The 16,952-nt window shown below is 39.9% G+C and overlaps 1 long non-coding RNA gene across 1 annotated transcript, besides 3 other annotated features; it reads left to right on the top strand.

Annotated features, from left to right (window-relative positions):
* Positions 2,762-2,962: a silencer, noted in NCBI's record as "peak1820 fragment used in MPRA reporter construct". NCBI's record gives its function as "represses an SCP1 promoter by STARR-seq MPRAs in K562 erythroleukemia cells {active_cell/tissue: K562}" and the evidence as "EXISTENCE:reporter gene assay evidence [ECO:0000049][PMID:32103011]".
* Positions 10,805-16,727, top strand: LOC124902964 (uncharacterized). The gene is made up of 2 exons (XR_007063366.1): positions 10,805-10,901; positions 14,479-16,727. It is a non-coding gene; the product is annotated as an uncharacterized LOC124902964 (long non-coding RNA).
* Positions 12,299-12,814: an enhancer, noted in NCBI's record as "NANOG-H3K4me1 hESC enhancer chr12:71985323-71985838 (GRCh37/hg19 assembly coordinates)". NCBI's record gives its function as "activates a minimal SCP1, AML or CMV promoter by ChIP-STARR-seq in primed H9 embryonic stem cells {active_cell/tissue: H9 hESC(primed)}" and the evidence as "EXISTENCE:reporter gene assay evidence [ECO:0000049][PMID:30033119]".
* Positions 14,502-14,702: a silencer, noted in NCBI's record as "peak1819 fragment used in MPRA reporter construct". NCBI's record gives its function as "represses an SCP1 promoter by STARR-seq MPRAs in K562 erythroleukemia cells {active_cell/tissue: K562}" and the evidence as "EXISTENCE:reporter gene assay evidence [ECO:0000049][PMID:32103011]".
* Positions 16,728-16,952: the final 225 nt, after the last annotated feature.

Here is a 16,952-nt window from a genome sequence, read left to right as displayed (position 1 = left end):
AAGACAGGAGGATTGCTTGAGAGCAGCCTGGGCAACATAGCGAGACCATGTCATTATTAAAAAAAAAAAAAAAAAGTTGCTGTCTAAATTCAGTGGCTCATTCCTGGCATTACCAAAATAACAGATAAAAATATCAGTTAAGAGATGGTCTTGAGACAGGCGTGGTGGCTCATGCCTATAATCCTAGGACTTTGGGAGGCCAAGTTAGGAGGATCTCAAGTTTAAGAGTTTGAGACCATCCTGGGCAATATGGAGAGACCTCATCTCTTTAAAAACATGGTCTTTAGGTTTTAAAGTCAAAAGGAATCAAAATTTAGTCTGCTTCTGTTTTCAGTTCTGAGGATTCTCAGCATGTTGGCTGGATTCCCTTTGTGGTGAAATAGAGGATAAAAACTACCCCTTAGTTCAGTACTCAGAATTTAAGTGTAGAGAGTATCTTGATAATCCAAGCCACTTTCCACACTTTTTTGGAGTTGCCTATAACAGGACATGAGAATATTGACCAATTAAGTTTACTTATTTTGTAGGCAGCAGTCATAAAATGACCTAACCAGGCAAGAGGACTTGCATAGAGTTTGCATATAAGATAATCCTCCAGGAACATACTTTTAAGAGAAAAGAATTGCTGGATTTTTTAAACCACAATTTTATCACAGTTAGACCAAATTTGGCTGAAGCTGTGGCCCAGTGGTGAAAAATCACAGAATGCAGAACAAGGGGTCCATTGGTAGTGTTCACTTGGTGATTAATGCTGTTCTAAATAAAAGTAATATCTAATTTGGGGGTGGGGAGGAAAGGATGTGAGTCAAAATAGCCAGTTGTAAAATCCAAGGCTTGCAATTCAGTGTGAATGACCCTTTCTATATTAGGATTGACAGATGAAAATAGCAGTGGCTTAAAAGTTTAAGTAGGGTGGACCAGGGCTGACTGTATGATACTCCGCTGTAACAGAGACCTAGACACCTATCTGTTTGTCCTGTGTGACCTCCTTTCCCAAAAGGGGTGCTACCTATGGTTGTGTTAAGTCATGTCCTGTACAAGGATACATGGCCAAAAGACTGAAATAGCAGGGGATGAAATTAATCCCATGATCAACTCATCAAGCACCCGAAGGCACTCGTTGAGTCGGCATGGAGGAAGGGTGGCCTTTTTAAAATTCACACAAAGGGACCATTAAGAATCCAAGTTCTATGGGGAGGGTTGGTGTTTTTCTAAATTGCACAACAGCACCACGTGGGCTGGTGGTCCTGATGATTCTAGATGGCTGCTCCACACCCAAGCTTTTTTGTTCACATTGTATTTAGCAGGAAGGAAAAATGAAGGGAAGCATGACCCGCCTCGCTTCTTAGGAGGACTCAGAAGCTGAACATGCCACATTTGCTTTTGTCCGATTGTTCAGAACATAGACACATGGCCACTGCAGGGAGGCTGGGAAATGTAGTCTTTATTTCGAGTAGCTATGTGGACTACATAAATTCAAGTATGAAAGGGAATACGTATCTGAGGAACAACTAAATATCTGCCACACTACCATCAAGTGGAGTAAACAGACTATAAAGTGAAGTTAGTGGCTTCAACCTAGCTTGTTTAGAGGTCTAAAAAAGTTTTAAATAGTGAACCTCTAAAATCTCTTCTAGTTCTCTAATTCTACTCTATAATCTTGAGTTTGGAATAGGGAAGCTGAAAGCACATTTCCCAGACCTAGCTGGTCTGGAAACTTAATAAATGGTCATTTAATAACAACTAACACTTTGTTGAGATGTTAGTCTGTCACACCATTGTAAGTGCTCAAGGAATATTTATTTAAATTTTCACAACAACCCTATGAGATATTGCTGTAATCTTCATTTTACAAATGTAAACTGAGTCATGAGAAATTAACTTAGCCGGGTCACAAAGATAGTAAATGACAAACCCAGGAAGTTGACTTCCAAGTGCATGCCCTTAATTTGCAACCTAAAAATCCCCTAGAGTAAAATTGGTCCACTGAGAAGCAATCCTGAGAACTTTGAGGGAATTATTGAGAAAGAGGCGCTTTCTTTTTGTTACACAGCTACACTAAGTTAGGGGAATGTAAGCCTGGAACAGTGGGGTAGTTGCCTTGACACAGCACTGTTAAGAGCCCACTGGAAGTGAGGCCCAAGAGGAAAGCAGAGCCAAGAGGTGAGGAAAGACATATTCTTGGTAATAGCAGGATTCGTTGTGTCTGAAATCAGATAACCATGAATTCTTCAGGCATTCAAACTTTTTCATTCTTACTGACTACCTCTTCTGCCCATTTGAAAAACTGACCTGGCTCTGCACAGCATCTCACACCTGTAGTCCCAGCTACTCGGGAGGCTAAGGTGGGAGGATCACTTGAGCCCAGTTCAAGGAGGCAGTGTGCCATGATCACATCTGTAAATAGCCACCAAACTCTAGCCTGGGTAACATGAGACTTTGTCTCTAAGAAAAATTTAAAAACTAAAAATTGAGCTTCTGAGACTCAGTATAGGTTCTTGTCCTCTGAAAACACTAAATTTACACATTTGTGGGTGTATGCCTGCAGAATGTAACATCACTGATTAAGTCATTGGACAATGAGGACAAAAGATGGTATGAGTTCTTACAATTGTATGAATTGTGATCTAAGTTGAGAGGTATGAAAGCAAGAGAATTGCATGTTTAGATAGGTAGGGGGTAGGGCTGAGAAGTTTCAGGAGGGAAATAAATATAGCCATAGTGCTTAAATTCTTTTTGGATTTTCCTTGGATAGAAAACTTGGCTGTATAATCAGCAGAAAGTTCACTTAACTCTTAAGTCAACATTTCTTCATTTTTAAGATGGGATTACTACTAGTGCTTATTTCACTTGGAGTTGTCAGGATAAAATAAGAGCATACTAGTAAAGGGCTTAGCCATAAGAGATGTGAGATAGTAGAAGCTATTTGAGGATAGAAAGCTTGGAAATGTGGGTTAGGGTAGTGTTTCATAATAATAAGAAAAGGATGGACAGGTGCAGTGACTCATGCCTGTAAATCTCAGCACTTTGGGAGGCTGAGGTGGGCAGATCACTTGAGATCAGGAGTTCGAGACCAGCCTGACCAACATGGTGAACTGTAACTCCTTGCTTACTCACAGGAAGATCGTATTAGTTATCTATTGCTGCATAACTTGTCTCTACTAAAAATACAAAAATTAGCCGGGCATGGCAGCTTGCGCCTGTAGTCCCACCTACTCAGGAGGGTGAGGTGGGAGAATTGCTTGAACCCAGGAGGCGGAAATTGAAGTGAGCCGAGATTGTGACACTACAGTCCAGCCTGAGTGACAGAGCAAGACTCTGTCAAAAAATAAAAAAAAGGAAAAAAACGACTTATTAGTGGTGGGGTCTCATTGCTTGTTAAAACTTCACTAGAGGAAGAAGAACAAGTAGAGACAAAAAGTGGAATAATTGAGTTTGAACCTTTATTTGGCAAAAGAAAGTTACAATAAAGGTTTGGAAACTAGTATTGATGGATGGGATGGCACTTGCAGAGAGATGAAAAGAAAATACGGCTTTTTCAGTTGGAGCTTCCCTGGTGTAGGGAATGTGCTAAAAAGATTATAGTGATCTAAGCCTTTGCCGCTCAGTGTGGTTCTGGATCTACAGCATCAGGGTCATCTGGAAGCTTGTTAGAAATGCAGAGTCTCAGGCCCTACCCAGACCCACTGAATCAGAATCTGCATTTTAATAAGATCCCAAGGTGATCTCATGCACATTAAAATTTGAGAAGCACTGCTCCAGGCCAGAGAGAAATGCATGGATTTCCATTGTTTAAAATACAAAAGAATAAAGAAATGTGGTCCCAAATCACTGGGACATCTGTCTTAATGTCTGTGATACAGTAGCAACAAGTTACATAGTTTTCTTTAGGCTTACTGTTCCATTATGCGGTGTGTGCCTGCCAGGTTTCAGAAACACAAAACTAACCACTAAATTTCATCCTTACCAATGCTCTTTACTCCAAAACTGATGCTAAGGAATACTTCTGGCTTCCCAAGTTTTAAATATTGAAGTGCTCTTGAAATTTAAGTGAACTATAACTCCTTGCTTACTCACAGGAAGATTGTATTAGTTATCTATTGCTGCATAACTATCCCAAAACTTACCAACCTAAAGTAACAAACACATATCACAGTGTTGGTGCTTAGCTGCGTGATTTGGCTAAGGGTCACTTATGAAGTTGAATCAAGCTATAGGCTGGGGCTTCAGTCAGTCATCTGAGGCTCCACTGGGGCTGAAGGATCTATTTCCAAGCTTGCTCATACAGTTGTTTTCAGGCCTCAGTTTGTCACCATATAGATGTCACCGTATAAATGTCTCCCTAGGCTGCTTGAGTGGTTTCATGGCAGGACAACTAGCTTCCCTCAGACTTAGTGGGCTAAGAGAGAGAGAGAAAAAAACAGAAGTTTTGGTCTGATAACCTAATCCTGGAAATGACATATGTATTAATCCATTTTCACACTGCTATAAAGACCTGTCTGAGACAGGGTGATGTATAAAGGAAAGAGGTTTAATTGACTCACAGTTCAGCATGGTTGGGGAAGCCTCAGGAAACTTACAATCATGGCAGATGGAGAAGGGGAAGCAAGGCACCTTCTTCACAAGGCGACAGGAAGGAGAAGTGCTGAGCAAAGGAGGAAGAGCCCCTTATAAAAACATTAGATCTTGTGAAAACTCACTCCCACGAGAACAGCATGGAGGAAATGGCCCCCATGATTCAATTACCTCTACCTGATCTTCTCCTTGACATGGAATTATGGGGATTATGATTCAAGATGAGATTTGGGTGGGGACACAAAACCTAACCATATCAACATACTGTCACTTCTGCCATATGCTATTAGTCACACAGACCAAACCTACCTAATATAATATGGGAGGGGATTATACAATGGTGTGAATACCAGTGAGTGAAGATCACTGGTAGGTTGTCTTGGAGCCTGGCTACTACAGTGATGGGAAAAGCACTTTGCTTTGTGCAACCAGACTCTTCAATAGCTCCAGGTGCAGCTTATACAGCTGGGAGCCTCTTCAGTCTCTATGGAGAGGAGGGAGTGAAACAATGAGTGACTTGCAGATCTCACACCCATATTCACATTACTTCTAGGGCTACTGATCCAATCAGAAATGGATTTTAATCTTGCTTGGATGGGGGAAATAGGGGAGTATGAAAGCAAAGAATACTTATTCAGTTGCGACTGCCTTTACATTTCAAAAAAATTAATGAAGAGTAGTCTTATCAGTTCTTTAATTCATAATTGTATCAAAATTGGGGAAAGATGTTTTGCTGGAGAGTGGTCAAACTAACTCTTTGAAACAGGCCATATCTACTAGGCATACTGACTTTCCCATGTCAAAACTCATTTTTTTTTTTGTCTAGAGCCAAAGAAGCAATGAATGATGTGTATAACCAAATGCTGGGATAACTCCTTTTATCAATAGGCTTGCATCCATTTCTCTTTATCCTGATGCTTCTTAATCAGCTGTGTGCAGCTTTACTCTCTGCAATTCTCCATATTTAACCATGCACATATCCAGCCCAACACACTGTACATCGTATGGTCCATAAACTCTTAAAATTAGAAAAATAAATTGTATAGAAGAGTCGTCAATCTCCACTGAAATTTGGCTGGGATAGATAGCTCCAGTCATACATTAAAAATATTTAAATTTTCCTTCTATTACAAACGTATTCAGAGAAAAATCTCTGAATATTCCAGAGATTGTAGAGTGTAAAATCAGCTAAACAATCTTTATCTAATTGTAACAAAACGACATATCAGGAATTCTTATTTTGCCATTGGGAAATAAAGTTATGTTGGCAAATAAAATTATGTTAATCTGAAGAAATTACATTTGGTCCACTTTAGATCAAAGGCCCTCTGTACCCCAGAGGGCCAATTCTGCTCTTCTTAGGACAAAAGTCTTGGGTAAAAAGTACAAGTTTTTCTTTTTCTTTTTTGTGGGTCACCTCCTTGTTGTTGCTTCCAATAAACCTCTCAGTTGTTAGCAAGTTTTAACCAGAACATCAAGCAAGATCATTTTCTTACTATGAAATGGAGATGTAAAATTTGAGAAGTTAGATAAGTATCAGGTATACAGGAACAGCATATTCCTCCAATGAAAATAAAACCTTTCCTATAATTAATATAGCTCCATGACCTATATTACTTTTTTTATTTTTATAGTTAATTTGTGTCTTAGTTCATTCCAGATGCTATACCAAAAATACCATAAACTAGGTGACTTATAAACAACATTTATTTCTCACAGTTCTGGAGGTTGGGAAGTCCAAGCTGGCAGATTTGGTGTCTGCTAAGGGCCCACTCTTCATAGATGGTACCTTCTATCTGTGTTCTTATATGGTGGAAGGGCTGTCTATCTGGGGTCTCTTTTAAAAGAGCACTAATCCCATTGATGAGGGTTATGCCCTCATGACCTAATCATGTCCCTAAAGGCCCCACCTCCTAATTCCATGACCTCAGGGATAAGGATATAACACATGCATTTTGGAGGGACACAAACATGCAGCCAATAGCAATTGGAAAGTGAACTTTGCTGACAGATACAGTATAATATGATTTTATCAACTCCATTTTACTGATGAGCACTCTGAAGAAAGGGAACTAAAGAAACTTGCCAGGATCACACAACTTTTGAAAGTTGGAGTTGGGATTGGAACCCAGGTGTATTGGTTCATTTTATGTTGCTATAACAGAACACCACAGGCTGGGTAATTTATAAACAATGCAAGTTTATTGGGCTTATGGTTCTTGAGGCTGAGAAGTTCAAGATTGAGGGGCCACATCTAGTAAGGACTTTCTTTCTCTGTCATCCCGTGGCAGAAGGCAGAAGGGCAAGAAAGCACAAGAGTGTGAGAGAGAGCCCAGAAGGGGGCCAAAGTCATCCTTTTATTAGGAATTCACTCCCTTGATAAACAGCATTTATCTCTTCAAGAGGGAAGAGCCCTCATGATTTAATCACCGCTTAAAAATCCCACCTCTCAGGAGGGGGACAAGGGTTAAAAAACTAACTATTGGTTATTCTCCTCAGTACCTGGGTGATGGGATCAATTGTTCCCCAAACCTCAGCATCACACAGTATAACACAGGTAACAAACCTGCACATGTTCCCCCCTAAATCCAAAAAGAAAGTTGACATTTTTTTAAATGTATATATTTATAAAGCACAATGTAATGTTTTGTTATATGTTGACAATGTAGAATGACCAAATCAGGCTAATTAACAAAAAAGCCTTATCACAGTCTATCTTTAAATAATACACTACAACACCTATATTATAAGAACCCCATGGGGGGAGGGAGGAGGGATAGCATTAGGAGATATACCTAATGCTAAACGATGAGTTAATGGGTGCAGCACACAAGCATGGCACAAGTATACATATGTAACAAACCTGCATGTTGTGCACATGTACCCTAAAACCTAAAGTATAATAATAATAAAATTAAAAACAAACAAAAAAACAAAAAAATAACCCTATAGCAGCTTATTTGCATTTTTTCTTTGCCATCATTTGCACTATTATTCTCAAATATTTTACTTTTACATCTGTTCCAAACCTCAAAATACATTCTTAATATTTTTGCTTTAAATAATTATCTCTTTGCCAGATTTATTGAGTTATAATTGGTATGCAGAAAACTGCACATAATCAACATATACAATTAGGCGAGTTGGTGTACATTACCATCACTGCAATCCAGATAATAAATAAATCCATCATCTCATAAAAGAAAAAAAAACTCAACTCTCAACATTTGCATTGGGGATTAAATTTCCAAAACATAAACTTTGGAGGATATTCAGACCATGGCACCAGGCTAATTGGATTCAGCATCTGAATGCTCAGTCACTGTATTATATTACCCCTGAAGGTACCCACTCAATGAATGTTTACTGAATAGTTACATTTTTCTAAATGTGTGCTACATAAATTTTGTATAGACAAATGTAAAAAAAAATACAAAAAGATATTTACCCAATTCTATAAATATTTCTCCTAGTCAATGCTTTAGCCAACATTTTTACTCATTTTTTAAAAATATGAAATAAAATTTCACTACAACCCTTTACCACTACAACCCTTTACCCTGGACTCAGGATAACCACTTTTAATTTCCTATTCTCCCTTGCCCTAGGAATGATAGCTCAATTCTCTCTTAAGGTCTACTCCTGTAGTCAGTAAAATGGTTCTTAAACTTTAGCCTGCATCAGAATCACCTGGAGGCCATATGAAAACACAGATTGCTGGACTCCACTCCCAGAATTTCTGATGCAGTAAGACGGGAGTGATGCCTGTCATTTCTAACAAGTGTGCATTTCTAACAAGTTTGAAAATCACTAGTGTAGCTGTTAAAAGAAATGTCTCTGAGACCTGTCTCCCCTATTTACTACGTGAATGATCTTAGGCAAGTTAACAAATCTTTGTGCTATTGCTTAATCTACAAAATGGCAGTGATAACAAGACACATCTCATAGGCTTGTATCCTAATTAAGTGACATATTTTGCATAAAGCACCCAACATACCACCTGACATGGATCAAGTCCTTATAATAACTATTATGACAGGCTGGCTTTTCCAGACAAGCATCCACTTAAAATATACTTAATAATAAAATAATAGTTATTAGCAGTAAAAAGGTATTCTTCATTTTTTTGTTTGTTTGTTTGTTTTTGAGACAGTCTTGCTCTGTCACCAGGCTGGAGTGCAATGGTGTGATCGTGGCTTACTGCACCCTCAACTTCCTGGGCTCAAGCTATCCTCCTACCTCAGCCTCCTGAGTAGCTAGAACTATAGGCGTGTACCACCATGCCCAGCTAATTTTTACTGATTTTTGGTAGAGATGTGGGACTCATGTTGCCCAGGCTGGTCTTGATCTCCTGGGCTTAAGCATTCCTCCTGCCTCAGCCTCCCAAAATGCTGGGATTACAGCATGAGACACCACGCCCAGTTTATATGCCTCATTCTTGATACTTCCTTCTCTGTAGAGGGAGCTCCATTAATGTCACTATCCCTGCCTTTTGGTATATTCATTCACCGTCTTCTCCTAGGGGAGCAGGAATAATAGATTTTATTGGAGCATTTGGGAAAGGAATCTGGCCTGCTTGGGTTAGCCCCTTCCTCTTTTTTTAAAATTTGGAACGAGGCTGTCCACTTGGATCGTGAGTTCTGCAGCTCCAGGATTATAGGGCGTCTTGCCTCCCTGTGGGGAGGCTGTGGCCATCCAATGCTGCCTGTGACTGGGAAAAGAATATGACTAGCTCTGGAGAGCTCATTGCTGAGATATTTAAGGCACATTCTAAATATTAAGTTTATGATTAAGAAATGTGGCAGATTGATACATATCTGCCTTATTATTTTTTCTTGTTTCTCACTGTTTAGAACTCAGGCCAAGGGAAAGGATGCTATTTGTCAGAACCTTTCAAATCCAGTATGAGGTTTGAATCTTCAGCTATGTGGTATTTTTGTCTTGATAGATTATTGAGGTTTATAGAGGCTGTGTCCACAGATGAGTGTATGTTTTCATATAGACTACCCTGATCTTAAGCAAGTCTAAGATATTTGAAAGCTGAGAAAAAAACAGGGTATTTTGGTAACATGACATCACAGAGCCTTCTAGAGACCAAATCTCCCGCTCCTCCTGGTCCCAGGAAGATAACTCCAGAAGCTGGGAAACAGCTTTGTGAAGGTGGAATAAAACTGTTCTGTCTGCACTTGAGATCCTCCTCTGAGAGGACAGCCACACTTCTGGCTTATCACAGTCCCACAGGGTGAGCCTCATAGATTACACTGAAAGAACAAAACGTAATGAAGTCTAGGGGAGAAATCACACTCACTCCCTGATGTTTCCTTCCATAGGAGGGAGCTCTATTAGAGTAACACCCCTGGCAGCATGCCAGCCTCTTACTGATTTTTCCATAGGGAGGATACGTGACATATCTTATTAGAATTTAGAACTCTATTTTTTCTTCCTTCTGTTACTGTCCCCAACATGGTTACATTTGGCTCTGTTCTCCCGTGCTGTTATTTTATAGAAGCACACTTCCGTGTGGGGAGGTCTGTGGTGTCTGATGTTCTCTGTGTCTCAGTGGACAAATCTGCGGAATTCTCACATTAATTATTAGGAAGCTTACTTGCCGGTGGATAAAAACCCTGCCATCTTCGATCAGCTTTATTGGTAATGAAGGTGATGTTTTACCTCTGTTGCTTTTCTGTTTGTCCCATTTTTAATAGGTTTGGGGCAAAGGCATAGAAAAGAGGTTCTATTTATTGTGCCAATCCAAACTCTAGATAATGGCTACACCTTTATTGAGCATGTATGGTATACTAAACACTTTGATATTAATAATTCCTCAGTAAGGAGTAAATAAGCTGTGAGGAAATAAGCCATTATTATTATTATTATTCTCATTTTATAAACAAAGAAATGACCACTTAGAGGAATTAAGTAATATGCCTAAGGTTATCCAGGTGGTAAATGGTGGTGCTGGCACTCAAGCCTAGGGGTGTCTGATCCCAGAACCCTTGCAGTTATTTCTACCGCTCTCTTTGTCCAAATTTCTTACTTGAAGACAGAAAGGAAGTTTTTAAAAATAGAGTTTTAGGTTGTGAACCCCAAAAATCTGAGACAGGTCTCAGTTAATTTAGAAAGTTTATTTTGCCAAGGTTGAGGACACGTGCCCATGGCATAGCCTCAGGAGGTCCTGATGACACGTGCCCAAGGTGGTCAGGGCACAGTTTGGTTTTATGCATTTTAGGGAGATATGAGACATCAATCAACATATGTAAGATGTACATTGGTTCCGTCCAGAAAGGTGGGACAACTCAAGCAGGGAGGGGACTTCCAGGTCACAGGTAAGTGAGAGACAAATGGTTGCATTCTTTCAAGTTTCTGATTATCCTTTCCAGAGGAGGCAATCAGATATGCATTTCAGTGAGCAGAGGGATGACTTTGAGTAGAATGGGAGGGAGGTTTGCTCTAAGCAGTTCCCAGCTTGACTGTTCCCTTTAGCTTAGTGATTTTGGGGTACCAAGATTTCCAAGATTTATTTATTTATGTATTTATTATTTACTTTTCTTTTCACAAGGTAAAAAATTCCATCTGTATGTACTGTATGTATTGTATGTAACTGCCTACTTTGTTTTGGATGTTGTATAAATATATCTAATGTAATAAGCAGAGTAAATGACCATAGAAAATGAGGGATAGAATGATGATTCATGGAAGGGTTAGTGGGTTCCTGCTGTATTTCCCCTGTGGCAATGGAAACTGTACCTGAGCTGGGAAAGAGAGGCTAAGAAGATCTTACCCAGACGTTTAGGAAAGACAATACAGCTATACTTACAAACGTTTTGGACAGTCGGGGGTGGGTATTTTGTTGGAGAGTGGTTTTTTTGTGAGGCACAATAACAACTATAGAAAGTTCTTCAAACTAGTTCAAGTATAAAAGAGGTTTCTTGAAATAACACAACAGGCAAATTCCTAGACACCTAAAAATAGGACCAAAAAACATGACCAAGCCACCCAGGGAATGGAACTGTCTAGAAACTTTATCATTCATGGAGCTGCTTGGCATTTTCAACTCCCTTTTTCTTGCTACCCCAGCCTTTTGTTTTTCTCACTATAGTGGCCATTTCTGCTTCTCAAAACTTAAATTTACACATAATTTTGGCTTCTCATGGTGTCATTGCCAGCCAAAATTCTGTTTGGTCTTTCAGTTCAAGCACCTTCCCCTCATGATCTGACTGAGTTAGTGTCTCCCAGTGTCCCTAATTTTCAATTCTTGGAAAAAAGAATCTGATTGCTCTGGCTTAGGTCAATTCCACAGAGGATGTGTTAGGGGTTGTGGCTGGAAAACAACTGCAAATATGGGGTCATGGGCTGGATTAGTACCCCCAATCTGCCTCCCTTAGTAAGGGAAATCAAAATTAGTCTGTCTTGGTCCCTTGGGTTGCTATAACAGAATGGCATCAATTGGATGGCTTATAAACAACAGAAATTTATTTCTCACAGTTTTGGAGGTTTGGAAGTCCAAGATCCAGGAGTCAGCAGATTCAGTATTCAGTGAAGGCTTACTTCTTCATTCATAGACACCATCTTTTAAATGTGTGCTCACATGGTAGAAGGGCTGAGGGTGCTCTCTGGGGTCCCTTTTTATAAGGGAACTAATCCCATTCTTGAGGTTTCTGTCCTTACAACCTAATCACCCTCCAAAAGCCCCATCTTTAAATGCCATTGCACTGGGGATTAGGCTTCAACATATGAATTTGGGGTGGGGGACATAAAACATTCTGTCTATAGTGAGTCATATGTACAGAACAGGCCAATAAAGAGCCTGCTGCCCCTAGAAGCTTCCAAAAGATCCTTGCCCATGGTCTCCTGGAGAGAAAAGTGAAAGTTTAGCTAATCAGGGTTTTGCCATGTGACCCTGACCTCCTGCAATCACCTACCTGTAGTCTGAGCAGTGACTTCTACGAACCTCCAGCTGGCCCAGCCCCCAGGGCTCTGTCCCACAGGGACAAACAATGAGCAACCAGATTCTTTCCCTGTTAGAGAAGCAGAAGATTCGAATTGAGGCAAGGCAATTAGTAGGAAGTGCATGCCCTCAGGGAAAACCTTGTAGGGGAAGTGTTGGGGAAATGGGCTGAAGTAAACAAATAAGCACCAGCAAATTAAGTTATGCCATAGAGAAAAGTTACAGAATTTAGACAATTGGGCTGGGTGGAGTGGCTCACACCTGTAATCTCAGCACTTTGGGAGGCCAAGGCCAGGGGAGCGCTTGAGCCCAGGAGTTTGAGCCCAGGAGCTCGAGACCAGCGTGGGCACTGGGCAACATGGCAAAACTCTATCTCTACGAAAGAAAAGAATACAGAATAGAGATGATCAATTGGAAGCAACAGAAGTGTTTGAAACAAAGACAAAGAAAAACTGGGTCACCATACTGGTGAGAAATCCATAAGGTGAAGGGGACAATAAGAACACTCTATCCCAGAGCTGGGTTAAAGCCTTCCACTTCTTATTTATTTATTTTGAGACGGGGTCTTACTCCCTCACCCAGGATAGAGTGCAGTGGTATGATCTTGGCTCACTGCAACTGTCAAAGCTGTTGGAACCACAGCAACTCCGTCTCGACTAGGAGCTGGGTAAAATGAGGCTGAAACCTACTGGGCTGCATTCCCAGATGGTTAAGGCATTGTTAAGTCACAGACGAGATGGGAGGTTGGCACAAAACACAGGTCATAAAGACCTTGCTGATAAAACAGCTTGCAGTAAAGAAGCCGGCTAAAATCCACCAAGACCAAGATGGCGACAAGAGTGATCTCTGGTTGTCCTCACTGCTACACTCCTGCCAGCACCATGACAATTTACAAATACCATGGCAATGCCAGGAAGTTACCCTATATGGTCTAAAAAGGGGAGGTATTAATAATATACTCCTTGTTTGGCATATTATCAAGCAATAACCATAAAAATGAGCAACCAGCAGCCATTGGGGCTGCTCTGTCCATGGAGTAGCCATTCTTTTATTTCTTTCCTCTTTTTTTTTTTTTTTTTGAGACAGAGTCTTACTCTGTTGCCCAACCTGGAGTGCAATGGCACCATCTCGGCTCACTGCAACCTCCACTTCCTGGGTTCAAGCTATTCTCCTGCCTCAGCCTCCTGAGTAGCTGGAATTACAGGCACATGCCACCACACTTGGCTAGTTTTTTGTATTTTTAGTAGAGACAAGGTTCACCATATTGACCACGCTGGTCTCAAACTCTCGACCTCAGGTGATCTTCCCGCCTCGGCTTCCCAAAGTGCTGGAATTACAGGCGTGAACCACCGTGCCCAGCCAGATTCCTGTTTTTCTTATTTCCACATGTGTCCTCCCAATAACTCTCTACTCTCCATCATGACTTATGATCAAAAGAGGCTAACTAACCACAGTCATTAAATATTTCACCTCAGTAATCTAATATTTACAGCCTTGGATCAAAAATGATATGAAGGAAGAAGGAAGGCAGGCAGCAAATAGAGTGACAGGTAGACATCTGAGGACTGTCAGCAGCTAAAGAGACAATCTGATGTGTGATGTCTTAACTTTGCCATCTATTGCTCTTTGGTGATGGTATTTCTGTGATTTGGGACTGTGGCTCTGGCTTACTTGACTTTTATCTGTATTTCTCACTACGTGGGGAGAGAGAGCAGTAGAAAGAACAGACATCAAACCTGCTAGAACCTTAAAGAGTTGATATTGTTTCATCAGTAGTTTGAGGGCAAAGATCAGAGTCAGTCAGGAGCTGAAAAAATGAAGGGGCTTTTCTAGTGTTCCACAGCAGGTCTGTAACAAGTGGGCTTAAATCTCACGTCTTTATCCTTCACCATGCTGAATGGACTGAGAAATGCCCACCCACTTGTGACACAGAACTATATACCCTCTCGTTTCAGGATGTTGATATAAGGTCTCATTGCCTTCCTCAGCAATCTTCTGAATCTGGCATTCCTTCTGAGAAGACTAACAAGCATTCATCCAAAATGTTCGTCATTGGAAAGTTAGCTGTAATTTGATCTAACTTCTCACTCAATATGATAGTTTTTTTTTGGTATACAAGAGACCTGATGGAATCTTTCTTAGGTAAGCCAAATCTGTCTCTCTGAATCGTTCACCAGTTGGTTCTTGTTCTCTTAAAGAGTAAGTCAGCTTACTCTATGACTGTTTTTCAGTGCTATTAAGCGAAACTTGGGTTTTAGTCCTAGTTCCTCATCTGTGACCTTCGCAAGTCACTTATCCTTCTGACTCTATATTTTCATTGGCAAAATGACAAGGCCTGCTTTGCTCATTCCATAAGGCTGTCAAAAGAGGGGGAAACACAGGATCCATTAATTAAATACGTACTATTCAATGCTTTTCAGGTAGTGTGATGGTAACTTTATATACACTGAGTTATTAGTATTTCCAATCCTATGAGGCTGGTGGTGTGATGCCCATTTTTTTGAGGAGAAATTTGAGGCTGAAAAAAATTAAATACCTTGTCCAAGGATTACACAGATAGTAACAGAAGTAGGATTTGAACCCAGGTCTGTCTGGCAGTTGAGCTTAATCATTTTACTATTTGGCCTACTATAGGCTCGTACTTAAGAAAGCACTTAGTAAATTTCAATTATTCAAATATTTTAAATATTTTCCTTTAGCCTGCTTTTCTCCAGGTGACACATTCTCCATTTTTTAGACTATTATTTGATAGGATATCATTTCCCTATTCCACTCACTGTTTCATTCACTATTCTCATGGAGTAGCATGTTTTCAACATTCCCATAAAGTACTGTCTCTAGAGTGGAAAGTCATGTCCACAATGAGTATGAACCTGTATTCCATAATGCTTCTCCAGCCTATCACATGCATTTTCTGCCCGTTTCTGAAGTTTTATCATCCTACCCAATAGGCTTCAGGAACTTGTGTATGAGATGAACGAGTCAGTGTAGAATCTGAGTTCAACATCTTTAGAAATGTTCATAAGGAGGACATCGAAATGGGGATATGGCTACACAGCCCCTCCCCACTTCACTTGCAAGGAAAAGTGACCATAACCTAATTGTAGTTAAGGGTCTCTGTGGCCTGAGAGAGAAAATAGTTAGTGTTTAGTGGCCCATAGGAAGATAGTCTCTTTTATCTGCATAGTGGAACTGTAAAATCAAATCTCCAGTACTGAAGAGCATGAATGGAACCAGTAGGGTCACAGCAATCCCATCTATTTATCTAGGACTTCTTTCTCATCAGATGGGCCTCTGAACTAAATGTGATAAGATTAACAAAAGAAGCAGGACATTGTTACTTTTTCATATGTTAGAGTTTTTCTGGTTCTAAATGAAGAAGGTGTTGCTAATTTTATTTCCTTTTACTGCTTTATTGTTATATTTTTAGCCAAAACTAAATGAGTAGATGTTTTTTATTTCATATAAGAATGATTTTCTCTTCTGTAACAGTTGAAAAAAAATGATGTGCAGTAACAGCCACCTAATATATTTTTCTATTAAAATGTCCCTGAAAATAGTTATAGGTGACATATGAAGAGAGGGACTAGAAATGATGAGTTTTTTGATGTAACTGGTTAAATTCAAAAGCAAAGGTAGCTCCATTGTGAGCATAAGGTCTTAGCCTAAAAGGTGGCTTTCCAGAGAGGCCTTTCCGGAGCTCCATTTCTAAAGCACCACACTAATTATTCCCAATAGACTATTTAAAATAGCTTCATTTCCTTCATTTATGTTTCTATCGGATATTTCCATGTTTATATTTGTTTACTGTCTATCTCCCCTCCGCTGGAATGCGAATTCCAGACCTTGTTTTGTTATCCGCAGTGCATAGAATACAGCACATAATGGTGCAGAATACTTGTTGAATGAATGAACCTGTTTTTGGAAACAAAATTGTTACTGCCTTACTTTAAGCTAGTTCACAGTTTATGGTTTTTACAAATTTGTTCCATGGTTTGTTCTTTACTGTTGTTCAATGTCTGAACAGTACATCTTTCCCCTTCTCACTGTAGATTTATTTATTTGTGGATGTAATTCAAGTTCTTTCTGATTATGCTATATTAGAGTGGAGAACATTTATCAGATGGCAGTGTTTTGTGTAAGGTGTATTATAACTAGTGTTTTGTCAATAAAATAATAAAGCCTGTGGATTTATCTAAAGAAATAAGTTGGAGTGAATTTAAGTGTCTTTTTTTTTTTTAATTACATTACTGACTTGTGTTTTCTTGAGCGGGAGACAAAGGGGCTGCCAGGACTTGTTCCTGACTTTGGGCAAGTATATTGAAAAGAAAGAATGAGATGCATTCCTCTAGAGGCGACTTTTATATCTGCTGCCTGGGTTAAGAGGTGGGAGAGTAAGAGGAGTGAGCTCTTGTTTCAGCTGAAGATA

Source organism: Homo sapiens, chromosome 12 (assembly GCF_000001405.40).
Source record: "Homo sapiens chromosome 12, GRCh38.p14 Primary Assembly".
NCBI classification, from domain to species: Eukaryota; Metazoa; Chordata; class Mammalia; order Primates; family Hominidae; genus Homo; species Homo sapiens.
The sequence above is the reverse complement of the archived record's forward strand: the minus strand, read 5'-3'. Positions and strand labels throughout refer to the sequence as shown.